At 35.4% G+C, this 21,984-nt stretch overlaps 1 protein-coding gene across 2 annotated transcripts in view, besides 1 other annotated feature; it reads right to left on the bottom strand.

The window, feature by feature from the left end:
• The window catches only part of NELL2 (neural EGFL like 2), a 413,574-nt gene extending 397,132 nt beyond the window's left edge, over window positions 1-16,442 (bottom strand). The window contains exon 1 of one of the 2 annotated variants that reach the window (XM_011538396.2): window positions 16,384-16,442. Coding sequence is in view for 1 of the 2 variants with exons in the window: in NM_001145110.2 (NP_001138582.1) it covers window positions 8,393-8,430 (38 nt within the window). In the remaining variant the exon portion in view is untranslated. Of the gene's footprint in view, window positions 1-8,392; window positions 8,584-16,383 lie in introns of those variants that run through there. The other variant, NM_001145110.2, reaches the window with a different exon arrangement.
• Window positions 21,541-21,710: an enhancer, noted in NCBI's record as "experimental_28669 CRE fragment used in MPRA reporter constructs". NCBI's record gives its function as "activates a minimal promoter by MPRAs in K562 erythroleukemia cells, with activity observed for both the introgressed and non-introgressed 12:45320815 variant alleles {active_cell/tissue: K562}" and the evidence as "EXISTENCE:reporter gene assay evidence [ECO:0000049][PMID:34662402]".

Here is a 21,984-nt window from a genome sequence, read left to right on the forward strand (position 1 = left end):
TAAGTTCTTGTAGCTGTTTATTAATCTTACATGAGACGACTCTAATTTCTAAATATATTTCTTCTGTAAGATGTGTTCTTTCATTAGTAAAGATTTTTAAAGTGAGTTTTCAATAAGATCACAATGATCCAGCAAAAACATAAGCATGGGAAAATAGATAAAAACTGATGAATATAAATTCCTTAATTAATATCTGGTTATCCAAGCACTGAGGGATCCTTAATGTCTCTTCCCAAATTATTTTTTAAGATACACTGAATTATTTTATATCCTCTCTGGCCCGTATCAAGATCAGATGTTCATACAACCTGGAAATAAATCATCCACCATCTGACTAGCTCTCACAGGCCTATAGGGGGACCTTTGGTCTGAATCCTATACAAATATTTTTCTTCAGAATGACCATTATACATATATTCATTTAATTAATGTTTAATGAAGGCCTACTATGCAACAGACACTATTAATATATTAATGAAAAAAGCAGACAAAAATTGCTACATTCTGAGAGTCTAGGGGAAAAACAGGGAACAAATAATAAACTAAATTGCCTATAATTAATTAATTACATAATATTCTAAACAGTAATACGTGCTATGGAAATAATATAATAGGAAAGAAAATTGTGAAGATTATAGAGAGGTTAACTTTTAAAATAGGGTGTTTAGTAATGGTCTCACAAAGATTGGCATTAAAATCAAGACCTGAAGGAGGCAAGGAGGTGAGCTATGACGATATCTTAGGGAAGAGGGTTTCTAGGCAGAGGGAATAGCAAATGTCTTGAGGTGGGAATGTTCCAGGCAAACCTGAGAAACACAAGGAAGCAGTATGCCTGGAGAAGCAGTAAGTACGATTGGGGTTAGGAAGAGAGTAAGAGGAAATGCGGTTAAATTATGTGAATTTTATGAGTCACTCTAAGAAATTTAGGGTTTTCTTTAAGTGAAATGAAATGTCACAGAAGAACTTTAAACACATAAATGATATGACATATTTAAAACTCTTAATTCTGGCTGATATGTTAACAATTACTGAAGGAGTAAAGGGTAGAGCAGCTAGAAAGTTACTGCAATAATCCAGGTAAAAAATGATGATGGCTCAAACCAGGGTAAGAGTGGGTAGATATGGTGAGAAGTGGTGAGATTCTGGACTTACACTGAATTCAGAGTAGATAGGATTTACTGCCAGACTGGAATTGAGATATGAGAGAAAAAGAGGAATCAAGGAGAACTCAAAGGTTTTTTACCTGAATAACTTAACGAACAAAATTGGAATTCACTGAGATGAAAAAACTAGAGGAAGAGATGGAGAAAGGAAGCAGTAATCAGAAGGTAAGTCCGGGACATATTAACCTTGGGATGACTAAAAATATGTCCAAATAGAAATACTGATCTGGCAGCTGGAGTTTAATGATTGAGATTTAAAGGAAAGAAACACATAAGAAATATGTATCTGGGACTCATAAGTATGTAGATGTCTCTTAAAGCTATAATATAGTTTGCCTGTGTTCCCAGCCAAATCTCATCTTGAATTGTAGTTTCCATAATCCCCGTGTGTCCTGGGAGGGACCCGGTGGGAGGTAATTGAATCACGCAGGTGGTTACCACCATGCTGTCCTGATGATAGTGAGTGAGTTCTTATGAGAGCTAATGGTTTTATAAGGGGCTTTTCCCCCTCTTCATTCATTCTTCTCCTTCCTGCCACCATGTGAAGGTTTGCTACTCCTGCCATGATTGTAAGTTTCCTAAGGCCTCCCCAGCCCTGCAGAACTATGAGTCAATTAAACCTCTTTCCTTCATAAATTACCCAGTCTCGGGTATTTCTTCATAGCAGCATGAGAATGGATTAATACGAGCTATAAGACTAACTGAGATCACAAAGACTATGAGAATAGACAGGAAAATAAAAATAAGAGTTCTGGGCACTCCAACATTAAAAGCTCTGAAAGAGAAAAACATAACAAAGGACTGAGAACAATAAGCTAGTAGATTAGGTGCAAAACCAAAAAACAGTGGTGTCATGAAAGTGTCAAATATTGTTTATAGGCCAAGTAAAATGAAGATTGATATTTGGCCTTTGGATTTAGCAATATGGGAGTAATTGGTTACCTTGGCCAGAAATATTTCAGTTGAATGACAAAGGCAGAAACCTGTTTGAAATGGTTGAAGATAAAATGAAAACAGAAAAATGAAATTAGAGACAGTAAAGTAGGAAAATTCCTTGGAATAATTTTGCCATAAAGGGAAGGAGAGAAGTACAATGGTAGATTGAGTGAAGGCAAAGTAGGATCAAATGAAGTTGTCTTTGTTTTTTTGTTTTAAAATGAAAGATACAACAGTACGTTTGTAAGATGGTGGGAGATAACCATTAGAGAGGGAAACCAGTGATTGGAGAAAAACAAGGGAAAATCATTGTAATGATGTTCTTGAGTGCATTCAAGAAATAGGATATAGTAAACAAGTAAAATGTTGGCATTAATTGCAAATGTGAACAGTTTTTCAGGCATCCTACAAGGCAGAAGGCAGAGTTTAGGCACACAAAGGCAGAAGGTCATTAAATGTGGTAGTACAGGTTTAAGAATGATGTCTTCTGGTTGCTTTTATTTTCTCAGTGGAATAGGAAGCAAAGTCATCCATTGGAAGTCATGATGAGATAGACATGTTTGAGGTTTCAGAAGAGAGGAAAATGTATGAAATGGACATCTAGAAGTATGGAAATGTGTGTGGCATGGAGAAATATGATGGCTAGGAAGCATTAAAAGTCTACTTGAGTTTAGTGATCAATAATTTGAAGTGAGACCCATAAGCCTAGGAAGCTATGTGGTATAGATAAGAAATAGAAGAGTTGTATTTAACCAATCTTATGATTTCATTGAGGAATAGAGGGTATGTACAGGGGAATTCTTACAGTGATTAATCATGAACTTTAAGATGGGTAAGAAAGGCAGTAAAACAGATAGTAGGTAGGTAAAGGTCAAAAGATTGTTGAGTAAAGTGTATTCAAGAATAAACTGGAAAGATAAGAGTTTGTAATAACAGAAGGATTCATGGAATTGAGATTTTGACAAGGTTGCAATTATTTTTATATTATGGTATTGAATGAACATAGGGATGAGTGAGGAAGAATGGAAGACAATACCACCAAAGGAAAGAAGGTCAAGGAATCAAGTGGCTACAGTAGTAGCAAGATCACCCACATGGACATTAAAATATTTAAGAATTATGGCAGAAGTAGTGTTGGATGAAATTAAAGTGATCCAGGTGCTAAAATACTCCATAAATGAAGTTATATTCAACAGGTAGTCTAAAGTAAATGAGTTGATGAAACTTTGTGCTGTTACAGACACAGCACTCATCATAAGAAAAGAGAATTTATTTTTGCCTTTTACAGAGTGCTAATGACCACACTAGAAAAATAAATAATTAAAAGTTATTTCAATCATTAATATTAAAAGGGAATCTCTTGAGTGGTGGGTAATTTTTCCTGACATCCTTTCTCTGAAAGAAGAGTTAGCTGACATAATTTATTTAGATTTACTTTAAAAGTGTTTGACCTTAAAAAATACCTGTCACAGAACACATAAGAACAGAGTAATTGAGAAATCAATACAATGCTCTATTAAGTTGAAAAAGTGACAAATTACTTTTAAAAATAAAGTACTGGAAGTCCTAGATAGAGCAATCAGGCAAGAGAAAGAAATAAAAGCCATCTAAATAGGAAAAAAAGAAATTCAACTATGTCTCTTTACTGATGATATGATTCTATACCTAGAAAACTCCAAAGACTCCACCAAAAGGCTACTGAAACTGATAAATAACTTCAGTAAAGTTTCAGAATATAAAATCAACATAGAAAAATCAGTAACATTCCTATATACCAATAATGTTCAAGCTGAGAGCCAAATCAAGAACACAATCCCATTTACAATAGCCACACACACACAAGAAAATACCTAGGAATAGATCTACCCAAAGAGGAGAAAGATCTCTACAAGGAGAATGACAAAAAAAAAAATGTTGAGAGAAACCACAGATGACACAAACAAATGGAAATATATGACATGCTCATGGACTATTGGAAGAACCACAATCATTAAAATACCCATAGTACCAAAAGCAATCTACGGATTCAATGCTATTCATATCAAACTACCAACTTTATTTTTCACAGAACTGGAAAAAAATTCTAAAATTCATATGGAACCAAAAAGGAGACCAAATAGTCAAAGCAATCCTAAGAAAAAAGAACAATGTTAGAGGTATTATATTACCCAACTTCAAACCATACTATAAGGCTACAGTACTCAAAACAGCATGGTTTTGGTGACACACAGACACAGACACACACACACACACACACACACACATATATATACACACACACAGCAATGGAACAGACTGGAGAACCCAGAGATAAAGCTACACACAATACAGCCATCTGATACTCAACCAAGACAACAAAAATAAGCAATAGGGAAAGGAATCCCTATTCAATAAATGGTGCTGGAATAGCTGTCCAGCTATACGCAGAATAATGAAATTGGACCCTTATCTTTTACCACATACAAAAAAAATTAACTCAAAATGGGTTAAAGATTTAAATGAAAGATTACAAACTATAAGAATCCTAGAAGAAACATAGGAAACACCATTCTGGACATCGGCCTTAGGAAAGAAGTTATGACTAAGTCCTCAAAAGCAATAGCAACAAAAGCAAAAATTGACAAGTGGGACCTAATTAAAGATCTTCTACCCAGCAAAAGAAACTATCAACAGAGTAAACAACCTATAGAACGGGAGAAAATATTCACAAATTTTGCATCTGGCAGAGGTCTAATATCCAGAATCTATAAGGTTCTTAATTCAACAAGCAAAAACAAATAATCCCATTAAAGAATGGGCAAAAGACATAAGAGACACTTTTCAAAAGACATACATGTGGCCAACAAACATGAAAAATGTTTAACATCACTAATCATCAGAGAAAAGCAAATCAAAACCACAATGAGATACCATCTCACACTAGAAAGGCTATTATTAAAAACTCAAAAACACCAGGCACTGAGGAGGCTGTGGAGAGAAAGGAGAACTTATGCACTGTTGGTGGGAATGTAAATTAGTTCAACCACTGTGGAATACAGTTTGGAGATTTCCCAAAGAATCTAAAACAGAACTACCACTCAGCCCAGTAATTCCATTACCAGATATATACTCAAAGGAAAATAAATTATTCTACCAAAAAGATACATGTACATGTATGTTCATTTCAGCAGTATTCAAAATAATGAAGACATGGAATCAACCTAGGTGCCCATCAATGATGGATTGGATAAAGAAAATGTGGTACATATATATGTGGAATACTATGCAGCCATGAAAAGAACAAGACCATGTTCTTCGCAGCAATATGGATGCAGCTGGAGGCCATAATCCTTTTTTCTTTAAAAAAGTGGAACACAAGGACTTAGCCATAATCCTAATCACATTAATGCAGGAACAGAAAACCAAATACCACATGCTCTCTCTTATAAGTGGGAGCTAAACTTTAGGTACTTTTGGACATAAAGATGGCAATAATAGACACTGGAGACGACTAGATGGGGGAGGTAGGGAGGAGGGTAAGGTTGAAAAATTGTTGCATACTATGCTCACTACCTAAGTGACAGGATCATGCATATCTCAGCATCATGCAATATACCCATGTAACAAATCTGCACGTGTACTCCCTGAATCTAGAATAAAAACTGAAATTATTAAATAAATAGGTAAATAAAGTACTGTTTTACAAATGTGGGAGCAGGAGGAATTACAGGGAAGGAAATGATTACACTATTTCCCTGAGTATTTTAACTATTGTAAGTCAACAGGGGAATATGCAGGTTTTAGAAAATTGTTCCAATCATTCTGAACATTGATTAGTCTTATTCAATTTCAAGAAGACTATTAAAAAATAACAAGAACAATAAAAAAGAAATAACATATATTTCTCGGGGAAACCATTTGGCTATATGATGGCACTGTGGTTCAGTAGTAAACAGTAAGTATTCCAAGTAACATTTTAAATTATAATCTTTCAAAAGATAAATGGATAAAGCACTACAAAAATTAAGTAAATGCCTGTTTAATCCTTGTCTTCCTCAAAAAAATAAAACTACAAAATTCGTATGGGCATCTGGTTTTGGTGAATATATCAAAACTAAAAATAAATGAAAACTAGAGCAGCTTTTCAAGATAGAGGTTTTATCAGGACTGGACATTTACTATGTTAAGTTCTAGGGAAATAAAAATGAGTAAAAGACATAATCCTGCCTTCGAGTCACCGATAAACAAGAGAAAAAACATGTATGTAAGCAAAATATATATTTATAATATACATTTATTTACAAAATTCTAGGGGACCAAAAAGGAGGTGGTGACTAAATCTTTCTGTGAGAGTCAGAGTAAAGTCACAGGTGATACTTAAACTGCCCCCTGAGTTAATGGGTGCAGCACATCAACATGGCACATGTATACATATGTAACAAACCTGCACGTTGTGCACATGTACCCTAAAACTTAAAGTATAATAATAATAAAATTTAAAAAAATAAATAAATAAAAATAAAAATAAATAAAGTGCCCCTGAGGATTGAGTTGGAGCTCAGGTTGAAGGTCTCTGTCTATGTGTTGGGGGAGGGTAGTACTGAGAATGGAAAAGCCCACACAGAGAGAAAAAAATCAGCAGAATCTAAAAGAATGAAAATGCATGGAACATTTAGTTACTTGTGAAGAAAGAGATGTAGTTTATGAGGAGAGACAATGGATGATGAATTTGTAAATGAAATTGGAAAAGCACCCTTGTAAATAATTTATTTTTAAGGCTTTAGACCTCATCCTATAAAGTAGTTACTTGCCAAAGCATATTCCACAGACTACTAGTTCTATGGGATGTTGAAAGATTATCACAAGAAAAAGGAGGCATCTCTGATCAAACAGAGTTAAACAAAATTTAAAGGATGTATTTACTCTAGGACTTCTCTGCACCTCTTAATATACTAATACACACTGAAAATCTCAAAAAGCTAATAGAATATGCAGTTTTCCAAACTAATTTCACAATAGAATCTTTTTTTAAAGGAGAAAATCAGAGAACTAATGTTCTGTGGGAATGTATTCTGGAAAATGCTACTGGAGTAATGGGGAAATCACTGCAACTTAATTAAATTGGCTTCCCACCACATGACATCATTTATTTATTCTTCCACCTAATAAACTTTTATTTAGTACCTTCTACATGCTAAGCCTAATAGTGCATAAAAGTCCACGAGCCTTATAAATTCGAATTGTTTATGTGAATAAAAATAATAGTAGTTTCCTACTAAGTTAATGTGGCCAAAACAAAATGAACTTGGATTCTGACTATACAGGATTCAAGTTCATCACAGTGCAGCAGTAGTGGTTAGGCATGGACACTTGGTAGCCAACCTGCCTGGGTTTAAATCCTAGCTATTCCACTTACTAGCTATATGACCTTGGGCAAATTACTTAACCTCTCTGTGCCACTATTAAGTGGGAATTGTGACAGTCCCTAACTCAGTTGTTCTGATGATTAAGTTGAATGAGCAAATATTTATAAAGTCCTTAGAAAAGTGCTTGGCATACAGTAAGCATAATGTGTATTTCTGTTAAATAAATCAAATAAATATGCTGGGGTCATAGGGAGTGTTTTTCTTTCCTTTCTTAAACTAGTTTATTGCACACTTACTCTGGGAAATTTTTGTAATAAATCAGTAGCCTGTTTAGATATAGGTGAAAATGAGATAACACAAGGCCATTTGGGTTCTTCCCTTGAGTAGGAAGCTTTATTGAAACATCAATCTTTACCCTAGATAGTGAGCCACAGTCTCCTAGCTCTCATTATTTTCTCCATACAGCTGATTGAAAAAGTCAGGATATAAAAATGTAACAGCAGGATGCAGAAATAAAGTTGATTTCTAGTTTTTTCTTTATACTTCTTCCTAGTTTTCAGATTTTCCATGATGGCATATCTAAGTTCTTTATTAAGAAAAAAGTTATCTAAAAAATCAGCTCTCAAACTAGGGTTAAAAACAAAGATAAATATAATATAGGAATTTTCTCCTTCCCAGTCCTAAAATAGTTGCCAGAGATAATTGGGAGGTCAAGGTAGGATTCAGCATTATGTTTCAAGTTTGAATAGTTGTGAATTTAGCAAAGAAATTCCCAAACTCTTAACATACTATAAAATTCGTAAACGTTAATATATTTTAAAGAAAAACAATATGATTCACATCAAAACCACAGCTGTTTGAAAATTCAGGTCACTATACCCTCCTTAAAGAATTTTTAAAATGGTGTTCAGAGTTACCTTAAAATTAAAATGATAAGAAAGAACTCACATTTTGAGGATTAAAATGAGAAGTCTTCTTATAGACATTTTATAATAATAATGTCTAAAAGGTTCTTTTTTCACTTTTAGATTGAATAAAGCATCTTCCTTATTTCAGTAAATGTTAGATGGATCCTTCTGATTGCTCAGGCCAAAAACCTTGGAGTCATTTCTCTCACATCCCACATCCAATTGCTCAGTACATCCTGCCTGCTACTTCTCAATATATAGACAGAATCTGGCAGTTACCATCTCCACCCACAACTGCCATGGTCTAAGTCATCATCCTAACTGGTCTCCCTGCTATCATCATTCCCTTCAGTCTATCCTCAAAATAGCATCCAAAGAAGTGATCCTTTTAAAACATAAATCAGGTTGTGTCACTCCTCTGCCTAAAACCCTCAGTGGTTTTCCATCTCACTTGAAGTAAAAGCTGAAGTCCTTGCCAAGCCATCCATGATCTTGTCCACCTTACCCCTCTGATATCGCTCTCCTTCCCTTGTTCCATTTCAGTCTCCCCCGTATCCTTACTGTCAATATTTCTAAAACAAGCAGCCAGACCTTTACAGTTGCTGTTCTTTCTGCCTGGAATGCTCTTCCTGCAGGTGTCCTCTTAGCTCACTCCCTTACCTTCTTTGTACTTTGCCCAAATGTCACCTTATCATAAGGTTTTCCTTGACTACCTCTTTTAAAATTGCAAACCACCCCACTCACATTTTCTAGTGCCTCTTCCAGATTTTTTTCTACATAGCAATTAAAACCATCTAACATCCCATGTTTCATATTTATCTCATTGTGTCTCTTCAATAGAATGAAAATTCATGAGCACAAGATTTTTCTCTGTTTTATTCTCTGATATATTCCCACAACCTAGAAGAGTGCTTAACACAGAGTAGCTGCTCGGTAAATATTTAGTGGATGTTAAATAAAAGTGGAGGTGTTGGGAAAGCTATTGGATATATACTCCTGGAGTGTAGAGAAAGGTCTCGGCTAGAGATATAATTGTATTAGTCATCAGTAAAAATGGCATTAAAATTAAAGAGGCTGGATTCAGTAAAAAAGAAATTTTTTTTTTTTTTGAGACAGAGTCTCCATCTGTCGCCCAGGCTGGAGTGCAGTGGCGTGATCTCGGCTCACTGTAAGCTCGGTCTCCTGGGTTCACGCCATTCTCCTGCCTCAGCCTCCTGAGTAGCTGGGACTACAGGCACTCGCCACCACGCCCGGCTAATTTTTTGTATTTTTTTAGTAGAAACAGGGTTTCACCGTGTTAGCCAGGATTGTCTCAATCTCCTGACCTCGTGATCCGCCCACCTCGGCCTCCCAAAGTGCTGGGATTACTGGCGTGAGCCACCGCGCCTGGCCAAAAAGAAACTTTTAAGAGAACTCATTTTTAAAATATTCGTTGGAAAAGCATAAAGACAAAAAGAATGCACTTTGCTGGAAACACATAGTGATAAAAATAATGTACTTTTTGTAAATTTCAAATTAGCAAAATTTACAAAACTGAAGGCTATTTAAAAGATATACAATATGCAACTAATTGCAAAACACTGAATCAGTAATTTTTCATTGCTTTCTAATTGAATTTTGCTTTATTTCATGTTCAAGGTTATCTTCTCTTCTCAGTAAATGAAGCAAATTGTATGCCTTTTCATCCTTCTGTTTACCATCAGATCTTAGACAACCATGAAACACAAATAAGGAACTGAGATGCATGCAATATATTGTTTCTAAAGAATTCCCCTCTCGAGTCTTCATCTTCTGTGACCATTTAATTGTGCTGGTGACTGGCAAGACATGTGGGAATTGAAAGTAATATACTTGGAAGTAAATGGAGATTAAAATTCTCTTCCCAATAATTTGAAACTTATTTTGAAGCTTATTCAAAAAAATAAATGAAGAGCCCAAGGTCCGGCAACACTTTACTGACAATCAGCCATTAGAATGCAGAACAGTGCCCTCAAAGACTGCCATCTGCATTTTGTAGGAAGAGATGCAAAAAAAAATGGGGAAAATATTGTAAAATAACCACCACTATTGCTCAGTAATTTGTGTTAATTGTATGAATGAAGTTGTCGACCCACTGTACTTCTTAAATGACATCACTCATCAGTCCCTGCAATTTGTTTCAACATGATGAAAACACAGTTGGGCTGAAAGATGCCTAGGTTCAGAGTAGTCTAAAAGCTTTTCAAATACCTTTAATGCATATTCACAGCCACCACTTTTGAAAATAGTATTTCATCACCTGCTATATCTAAATTTCTAAAATCTGCATTATATATTTCAAGGATGTTTAAATCAAAGTTAAAGTATCAAAAAGCCTACATAATTTAACAAGTAACATGTATTAAAGGATGCTGACACAGCAGATAATAGGCAACCAACAGGCCAATGTTAGCCACATGAAAGCTGCAAATAACTGCAGATTTAAAGTTATGAACATGAAGAAGCTGAGAAATAATTTAAAAGGAAAGAGATAACTGAAGTCAAATGAGGCAAAGAAAATAGTTTAAAGGCAAGAAAGTTGAAAATATAAAAACAATCTGAAGAGGAAGTGAAATAGAAAATCAGGTAAATGAAATGGATTCAGAATCTAAGCTAAAAAAAATGGTATTAATCAACCATCACACCAGACCCACATTTTTAAAATGGAAATCATTATAACTGGGGTGACAATAAGGAAGCAAGAGAATTCCAGAAATATGGTGGAAATTAATATTAAATAGGGCACCACTGTGATTTTTTTAAGTTTCCTTTCTAATAAAATCTCTAGAGCCATCTTTACTCCATCACACCTTCCTTGCACTCCTCATTGCATCCATCATTATTAACCACAAATCTCACCTTCCCCACCACAACAACAATTTTCCTGGAAGAGATTTTTACAGAGTATGTAAGTCAAGAAAATGACAAATTTGAGCCCCTTCAAGGCAAACCATTATAAGTCATATTGAACACTTTTTGAACACCAGTACCATAGAATCATAGACTCACAAGGTCAGAAAACTCTAAAGGTCCTCTAGTCTAATAATTCATTCTCAAAGTCCTTCTATAATGTTCCTGACAAGCAGCTAGATTATTTTTACAAAAGCATGTTGATTGATAAGAGAACACTGCCTCCTACAAAATGGTCCATTTCACCTTCAAATATCCTTTCAACCTGTTATTTATTCAATTTTTATTCTACTCAAATTAAACATTTTGGCCAGGACATCTATTAATAAGAAAACCTGAAAACAGCAAAGCAACTGGCCCTATCCCACAGAGACTCTCGTTTTGTTAATCTGATTGGAGCATCCCTGAGAATGTGCTTTTAAAACTCCCCAAGTGATTCTAATGTGCAGCCAGGATTGAAGAACCTTGCACCCAACAAACTTCAGTCCATACCAAGGTAGATTTACTGCAAGAAAATGTCAAAAGGTCTTTCTCCCTAAAATTTCCATCCATGAGTCTCACTTTGACCTCTTGATGATTATACAGTAGAATAAAACAACATTATGACGTAGAAAGAGCACAGCATTTGAATTCAGAGAAACCCAGCCCAACCACTTCCTAAGTGACTGGCCTCAGCCCAGCTGTCCAACTGTCCTAAGTCTTAGTTTCCATATATGTAAGAAGAGGATAATAGTAACTAATGGAGAGTTGAAGGAGTTAATATATTGCACATGGCCAGCACAGTGCTATCATGTCTTCCTGAGCCTTCTCTAGGTATATGTGGTGAGCAGACCCTAGGGTGGGCCCATGATTCCCACCCCTTGGTGTTCATACCCTGTATAATCCCCTCCCATTGAACGTATGTGAGGCCTGTGACTTGCTTCTAATCGATAGAATATGGCAAAGATTAAAGGATTTTGCAGAGGTAATTAAGGTCCCAAATCAGTTGATTTCAAGTTAATCATAAGGAAGCTTGTCCTGGGTGGGCCCTTAAAAGAGTGACTAGGCACTCCCTGAAGTCAGAGACTCTAATCAAGAGAGACTGTCCTGTGGGCTAGAGAAGTAAGGGGTCATGTTACAGAAGCTCATGTGGCAAGTAACTAAATGGCCTCTAAGCACTGCAAGTGGCCTCTAGGACCTGAGGGCAGCCTCCAGACAACGGCTTCAAAAAGTCAGGGCTCTCCGCCATATAGCTTCAAAGAAATGGATTGTGCCATCAACTGGTAATTTGGTTTACAGCAGTAAAAAACTAATACTGTTAAGCACCAACCATTTTAGTTTGAATATTTTGAGTCCTTTCCTCTTGAAAATAATGTTCATTTTCCTGGTCACTACCTAAAACACCTCCACTTGACCTAAATTTTCTTTAACATGTGGCTTGCAAAAGCAGACGCAAACATCACAGCTAAAATGTATCCAGGTAGAAAGCATCAGTGGATATTAAATCTGGGGTGGTGGTAGTGGTGGAAATGATATTTACATTAAATTTGACTTTGTTTTTTACCCTAAAGTACAGATCCTATATGGTGTTAATCTCACATTTAGGGAAAAGAAAAAAAGACTCCCTTGTTATCAAATTGTTTTGCTAATGATCCTCTCTTTAACCATCTGGAATGCAACCCATTCAACCTGAAGCTCGTGTTAACTCCAAAGCTTGCAAAATATATTTTGAAGAGTTTCACAAAACATAGACTATTGTCATTTATCTTAATCTATTATAGTTTGTATTACTCACTTGACCCCACTAGCCTTATGCTAACTTGGCATATTTATATGTTCATGCATGCATGTATGTGTGTGTGTGTGTGTGTGTGTGTGTGTGTGTGTGTGTGTGTGTGTGTAGAATCTCCTGCCAATCAGAAAAACCTAAGAACCTTAATTTTCCTCTTTCCATATTCGCACAGGCAAGTATTTAAAAGTATTTCTAAGTAATTCATACCCAAACACATCATGAAGACTCATTCTTCCACCCTTGCTCACTGATGGTTTTATGTCAGATCACATGCATTATCTATCTTTAATTTCTGAAACGAGCCTTTCTATTAATGTCCTTTGTAAGGTGTCATGCAGAGGAGATTAATGGCAGTCCTTATTTGATAGACAGTACCTAATAGTCAGCCATTGCTTCCCTCTCCCCTCTATAGGTAGTCCCTGATTCCCAATGTAGAGGCTAACACTGCATAGGTAGTTTTCCCCTCTTATTGAGGATATGATCACATGACCCTGAAAGTACCTGACAAACACAATTAACATGCTAAGAATGACAGAATGAAAACATAAAAGAGCTCAAGTTCTTGATGACACTGCTCAAGCAATGACTTAACCTGACCTTCAACCATCCTACTGCCAGATTTCTTCGAACGTGAGAAAATAAATACTTTGTCTAAGCCCTTTTTGGGTATCCAGCTACTTGTAGCCACAAACATCCTAAATGATACAACTGCCTATCTGTAACAATTTTTAAAACTCCCTAAACCTCAGTTTTTCCAGCAAAGAGAGGAAAAAATAATAGTGCCTGTCTCTTAAGAATGTTGTGGAAATGCAGTGGTACAATGAAGATAAATGGTGCTCAGCATGTAGTAAAAATGATAAATTATTAATATTAATATAAAATAATATTAATATAATGCAAACCTACATAAATACCCAATAACCGTATGTTGAATGTAACTGTGTTATTATTGTGGGTTGCACTGTGTTCCCCTAAAAGATGTTAAAGTCCTAACCCCCAGTACCTGTGACCGTAACCCTGGAAATAAGGTTTCTGCAGACGCTCAAGTTAGGATGTGGTCATCAGGGTGAGCCCTAATCCAATGTGACAGTGTCCTTATAAAAAGGGGAAATTTAGACAGAGACAGAGATATGAGCACAGAGAGAATGCTGTGTGAACGTGAAGGTAGTAATCAGAGTGACGGGTCTACAAGACAAGGAATGCCAAAGATTGCCAACAAAACACTGGAAGCTAGGAAAGAGGCATGGAATCGATTCTCTCCCACAGCCCTTGGAAGGAACCAATTCTGCCAGCACCTTAATCTCAGACTTCCAGCCCCCAGAGCTGTGAGACAATGCATTTCTGTTGTTTAAGGCATTCAGTTTGTGCTGCTTTGCCATGGCTGCCCTAGCAAGCTAATACATGCATTTAATATTAAAAATAAACCTAAATTCCAAAGGAAAACATGCAAAAAAGATAGAAAATGAGTGTTCACTTTTTGCATAGCCATGCATTCATAAGCCGAAGTTGATTTTCATGGATAACTGATGGTAGCACACACACAAAAATGATTCTGGAAATAAAGTCTTTAAGCACGAATTTTAAGGTTAGAAACTGGAGAGCTTTTCAAAGGAAAGAGGAATAGTCACAGAGAAAAAAAGAATAATTTGGAAGTTATGTAATGTATGTTAATAGAATGAGAAAACAGAAAATAGGGAGAATTTTGAAATATAGAAATAAAGTAGAAGAATAAACGGGGTCAAGAAATGAGAGCACTTTCTTAATAAAATAATGAAATCACAAATGCTAAAGTAGATAAAGAAGATAATGAGATATAAGAAGAGAATCCATTTGGACATATCTTTCAAATTTTAATTCTTTAGAAAGAACTATAAATTGTTATATTTGCATATTTAATCATTACTTTTTAAGCCTTTCAGTTCCTTGAAATTTTTTACTAAAGAATTGTCACTAAAAAGATGTGGAAGAAGATGTTTTGTATTGAATTTGAATATATTATTCACTTAATTACAACCTTCATGTAACAAAGGTTTCCTAATGTAGTCTCATCTAAAATTAATAGATATATACTCAGTGAATCCAAATGTTTAATGAGCTACAAGGTTTATTAACATTCCCATTTTATTTATTTTTAGCTTTATTAAAGCTCATCTACTGCCCACAGGCTTGTGATGCACATATCACATAATAAAAAGGCAAATTAAATTTAAATTCTTAGTGGCAGAATTTCCTACAAGCAAATGAATACCAACATGTCTACAATATTTCAGTACTGCCAGATTTTAAATTGAAGATTAAAGTTTTTATTTGCTTTTAATTAGTCTTATATTTACACAGCAAGAGAGAGAGTACAAACCAGTGCAAATGTTACCAACAAATCCATAAAATGAAATACTTTACATAAAAATGGGTGTAATTTCCACAACTCTGGAGTCTGTCTGTTGCTCAAATGAATACCTCCCTCATTTATTGACTGATGGCTGAAATTATTAGAAATTAATTTCTGTGAAAACACAAATGTTCTTAAGAGAGTAACACTTTAAGCTACTCTCAGTGAAATCATTTGAGATCCTAATCTACGTACACACTTTTATAGTTAGCTGGTAGGGGGCTGAGGAGGGAAGAAAGGAAAAGAGCACCCATGAGAGAGGCTGGAAGCACCCAAACTGACATTTGTCTGCTTCCCTAGATTATTTATATCTATTTGGGATTCTATTTTTTTCAAATGAACGTCTTCTCATTGAAACCATGACATGGAAGTCAGAGACCTAAACACTAGATAGACTTGTGCAAATCGTGGTCTAATTTCAATTCATTTGCAAGCATTTACTGAGTACCTATTGTGCACAAAATACTAAGCTAGGCTTTACAGAAAATACAAATGTAAGAAAGACACAGTGGCCAGGCTCTCAGACGCTTACAGTCTGGCAGAGGTCTATAACAAGTTCAAAATTCAGTAACTACGTAGGCGGTATAGCAAGATGGGTCAGAGAGTGGGCCCCAAAGTTAGACAGGCAGGCTTGAATTGTGGCTCCAGCTCACATGTAATGTAACCTCTGTGTACCTTGACCCTCAGCTGCACAATGGAAATGAATTGTTATGATGATTAATTGAATTAATACATGTAAAGCACTTAGAACAGTACAAGCAATAAGTATTACGTAAGGGTCATTTGAGAAAACTAAAAACAAAAAAAGTGCTAATGGAGTTCAAAAGACACAAGGTGGTGTTTGATAGGAAAAAATGACTTTCCTAAGATAGCATACAGCAGACAATATTAGTGACCCTCCCACCCTCCACCCCACCTATCATACACAAAAGGACTTCTCTACCTTTTCAGAGAGTACTTCTGCCTTTGTGGAACCTGACAGCTTCAGTTCACATGTGGTTTGTACTGGAACTTATTCTTTCCCTTTTATTTGCTCTTCCTCCCTGGTCACAATGGGAACAACTTGCACTAAAACTGTCATTGTATAACAAAAATATGTCAACGTCCCACACACAGTCTTTGCAAAAATGTCGGGGTGGATTTTTAAGATGCGAGTATCATGAGTATGCTTCCATATTCATTTATTTTTAATACATGAAGAAATTAGTTCTCTTCTGCTAAGGGAATAGAGAACATGAGTTTAATTTGGTCAGATCATAGTCTTGGTTTTTTAGGATGGCATTGATATTGGTGTAGTTAGGATTCAACCAAATAGTCTAAAACAAATCAAAACAATTTATCGTACTTACACAAAGTAAAATGGTAATTTGACACAAAGTCAAATGTTTGTACATTATATAAAACTTACTTAGAAATAAGCCTTTTTAAATACTACAATATATGAATTTTAATATTAACTTCTTAGATTTCCTTTTTCTGAGAGAAATAGGGACAGTTGGTTGAATTTTTAGTTGTGTCCCCTAATATGATATGTTGAAATACTAACCACCTGCACCCCCCACCTCATCCCTGTGAATGTAACCTTATTTGGAAATAGGGTCTTTGCAGATGTAATTAAGTTAAGATGAATCATGCTGGACTAGTGTGGCTCCTGATCAAATGACTGGTATCCTTATAAGAGGAATATTCAACACAGAAATAGACCAGATTAGACACACAGGAAAAAAGGCCATGCAGCGATAGAGGCAGAGAGTGGAGTGATGCAGCTATCAGCCAAGGAATGCCAATGATTGCCAGCAAATACCAAAAGCTAGAAGAAAGAAAGAATTCTTCCCCCAGAGACCTCAGAGGGAGAATAGCCCTGCAGATACCTTGATCTGAGACTTCAAGTCTCCAGAACTGTGACAATAAATTTCTGTTGTTTTAAGCTACCTGATTTGATATACTTTGTTACGGCAGCTCTAGGGAGGTAATACAGTAGGCCAATTCATTCATTTGGCAATACTTATTGAGTCTGCTATGTCCTGGGCATTATACCTAGTGCTGCTGGGATATGGTGTGAGTAAGTGTAACAAAGTACCAGTTCTTGGAAGTTCATGTTTTTACAGAGAAGACACACATTCAACAAGCAAAATGTACTATCATTCATTTAATTGCAGTTGCAAACATAATAACCCAAGTACCTCTCTCAAGTCATTCTCTAGCACAGTAATTGGTTTTATTTTCTTTATAATCTTCATCACTATTTGAAATTATCTTGTTTTGTCCTATAATTGTTGTCAGTCTCCCCTCATTCCATTTCTAGCTTTTAGAAGAGTACATGGCACTATAGATACCCAACAACTGCTGGATGAATGAATGAAAAAAAGGTGCAGGGTGACAAGAGAGCATTTATTAAACAGATGTGAGCTTTTCTAAAAGGTGAAAATGGGAAATGATGTTTGGGCGAAGTAATAAATAGGAGTTAACTGCTTACTAGGGACTAATAAGGGTTAATTTGAAGACTAGACAGGGAAGAATGTTGTAAGCAAAGAAAATAACACTATAAAGACCATTGGCAGGAAAGAAAGGCACATTTAAGAAATCCATAGGTCAAGTTGACTAGGGTCCAAAGAGTAAAGGAGAGGGTACATCAAAGTAAGTCTGGTGAAGCAGGTAGGGGCCAGATCATACAGGAATTGAGGCAAGGTTAAACATTTTTTACTTTATCTTGGTAGACAATGGGAAACCTTCACCGAATTTTCCGAAGGAGAGTGAATGATCATATTTGCCTTGTAAAAATTTCTCTATAGCTCTTGGCTGTGAATTGGAAGAAGGCAAGAATAGACATGGAGAGATGAGCTAAGGGATATTCTAGTAGCCTGGATAAGAGATGAGGGTAGCTCAGACAAGGGAACGAGCTATGACAAAATGGACAGATTCAAAGGTTGTGCGAGTGGTTCAAAAAATGTCCAGAAGATTGTAATGGTGATGGATTAGATGTGGAAGAGTGAAGGATAGGGACAAGTCTTCTGGCTCATGCTGCTGGGTGATCTTTTTTTTTTTTAAATAAACAATTAGAAGAGAATGAGGTAGTAGGGGATGGGTAAAAGAATTTAGTTTTGACCATGTTGAGTTTAGGTTCCAATGAGACATCCACATGCTGATGTTGAGTAGTCAGGGTCACAGATGAGTCTGGATCTTGGCAGAGATGCCTGGAGCAGAGACATGGATGTTAGGAATCATATACCTAGAGATGGTAACTGAAGCCTTGGGCATTGATGAAAGCACTCAGGGAGAAGAGAAAAAGGTCTTGGACTATGTCTTGAGAAAGCAAAGTACTTGGATATAGCCTTAATTTCTTTGCATCTAGAGTTGTGGTTTTTTTTTAAATAAATTTTCTAACCTTAACCTCTGCATGACCTGTTTTCTTTTTAAAATTAAACACATACTGAAAAATACCAAATCTTCTGAGTTTTATGTTTAATTTTGAGATCCCGAATTCCACTTACTGTGGATTATAAAATTTATTCCTTTAGATATATATAAAAAATGGTAAACTTGTAGCAATTAAATCACTTGGCATTTATTCTTCACATTTGTCAATTTCATGTAAGTTTTAGATAAATATTACCCATACAGGAAATCAACTTGTCTTCCAACATTCAAGCTTCCTGTACAAATATCTACACACAAATCCAAGAAAAAAAATCACCAGATTGAACTCTTTTTTTTTTTTTTTTTTTTTTAGACATGGTCTCACTCTGCCACCCAGACTGGAGTGCAGTGAGGGGCGTGATCTCGGCTCACTGCAACCTCTGCCCCCACCGCTCAAGCGATTCTCCTGCCCCAGCCTCCCAAGTAGCCTGGATTACAGGCGCATGCCACTACCACCCAGCTAATTTTTGTATTTTTAGTAGAGATGGAGTTTTACCATGTCGGCCAGGCTGCTATTGAACTCCTGACCTCAAATGATCCACCCACCTCGGGCTCCCAAAGTGCTAGGATTACAGACATGAGCCACCTTGCCCGGCCTGAACTCTCATTTCTTTCTGAAGTTTAAACTACCCTCTCATTTTCTGATAGGACTTTGTATTATTGAGAACAAAGGCCTCAAGAAAATTGGTTTCATGGGATACCTTCCTGCAATATTTGAATACATATAAAAATCCCTATCAAAAGCTAAGATATAAAACTATGTACCTTTATTTTCAATCTAAAGTGATTTTATACCCTGGAAAGTAAGTATAAGCACAATATTTACTGTAAAAAATGCACTAAGCATTTTGTTGATGTAAAATTTAATGAGTCCATAACTATGCAAACATTGTCATTGGGAGTGAAAGGACATGTAGGTTCTATCTGTCCTTGCCTATCTTCTAGAAGAGAGGCAAGAAACAGCAATGACTTAATAAGATGACCAATTCACAGAACTACCCTCAGGTCATACGAGTGTGAAAACACGTGCAGAACGCAATAACTCATACACAGTTTTATTTCCAGAAGGTGTTTTTTGAAATGGCCAATACTAGAGAATATTTATGAAATCCAATTTCTACTTAATGCAGATAATTAAGTAGGTAATAAGGGATGGGTAAAAGAGTTACAACTTGCAACTTGCCTATAACTCTTTTCGGATTGCAAATTTTCAGATGTCTCCTTACTATTTACAAAACAAAAACTTATTTTAACCAACCGATCTTTGAAGAGTCTTACATCTTATTATAACATATACTTATCCTGTTCCCTTCCAACATTCCTGACTCAACAATTGGTCATAACATTAACACTTTCTCTCCTGTATTCTCCTTATGATTTTCTCTCCTATATTCGCCTATTTACAGAATTAACTTATCAGTGTTGATCACATAGAATTATACACACTTTGGCACTATAAGGCTTTTCAGAAGTCATTTGGTTCCATTTTATTTTCACAGGTGAAGACACAAGTTCAAGTGCATTACATGACTCCCTTAAAACACACACTAATATGGCAAAGTACATAATTTAATTTTACTTTTCTTTAGCTCAAACCAGCATGCTACTATTTATAAGTAATAATTTAGCTTCTCATATTTTGGAGGGAAAATTGTCTATCATTATACACAACTTTTACCCCCCATAAATAAGCTTCCCTTTATTAAACATGAATCAACTTTCCAATTATCTTTCAAAGGCTCTTGACATCCCATAATATAGTAAAGCTCTTGTAAAAGGTTATCAGTGCACTTCAGTTCAGACCTTTCCTTCTCTCTGTCTCCATATGAAGATATTTAGTAATATTTAGAATATTCCTTTACCCCATGGTAAAGTAAAATCTTTATTTCTCTGATAAGTTCATCTTTATTCATCCTTAATTCACAATATCAAGTATATTAAGGGCAAATCCCAAGTCTGTAACTCCTTATCACAAAATAGGGATTTGACTCCCACTGTTGTAGAAATCTCACGGAATAAAAGGATTTATAAATACTAAAATTTCTAAAAATAGATTACAAACATATTTTTCATCTCCTTTTGGAGTTTACCATATTTGCTTCTTGTTTCTCAAAGTTACCTCTGGAAATACTCCAATCTTCAATTAGTAAGCAAGGAAAAGGCCTTCCTGCTTTAACAAAGTAATTTTAGAAATAAGTTTCAAAGACAAACTGATAAAATGTCACTATGGACACAGGGAGGGAAGGGAATATCTTAGTTAAGTGTACCTCAACATCCAGAATCTCTGGTTATACATTTATATAGCAGGAGGATCGGAAATATATTTAAGACTTTCTCATACTCTCATTGCAAATTGAGTAAAATCCAAACTCCCTAAGTCCTAGAAGACACAATGACACCCTCTCAACACTGACCAACTCCAGCCACATCATAGACCACTTTCCCGCTCCTATCTGCCTCTGTGTCTCTTGAAAACTACATAAGTAGTTATAAGAAATAATACAGATAGAATCTATATGTCCTTCACTCCCAATGACAAATGTTTGCATAATTATGAACTCATTAAATTTTATATCAACAAAGTGGTTAGTGCGTATTTTACAGTAAATATTGCACTTGTACTTACTTTCCAGTGTATAAAATGACTTTAGATTAAAAATAGAGGTACACAGTTTTATATCTTAGTTTTTGATAGGGATTTTTATGTGTATTCAAATGTTGCAGAAAGGTATTCCATGAAACCAATTTTCTTTAACTCAATCGCAACTAAACTTTTCAATTGTGCACCACTATTAACAAAGAAAACATAAAATGCATATATGTGCTAGAGAGTTAATAGGTAAATTACAAACATAAAATAGAAAAATGAGGAGATTGAGTAAATTAACATAATTAGAAAATATTGTCTGTTTATTGTAAAAAATGATTTGAATTTCACTAAAAATATTATCTTATGCGCTTAATATGCTTACTTTTATTTGAAAGTCTTATTCCTTTGAAATAAACTAGTTCAAACATGAAAACAAGAAAAAGAAAGAAAATTACAAAGCAACTTCCAACCGCAACAGCTTTGCTTTAGCTTTTCCCAATGCCTAGAATATTCTTATCCTTGATTTTCACACAGCAG

The sequence above is a fragment of the Homo sapiens genome, chromosome 12 (genome assembly GCF_000001405.40).
Source record: "Homo sapiens chromosome 12, GRCh38.p14 Primary Assembly".
Classification (NCBI taxonomy): domain Eukaryota; kingdom Metazoa; phylum Chordata; class Mammalia; order Primates; family Hominidae; genus Homo; species Homo sapiens.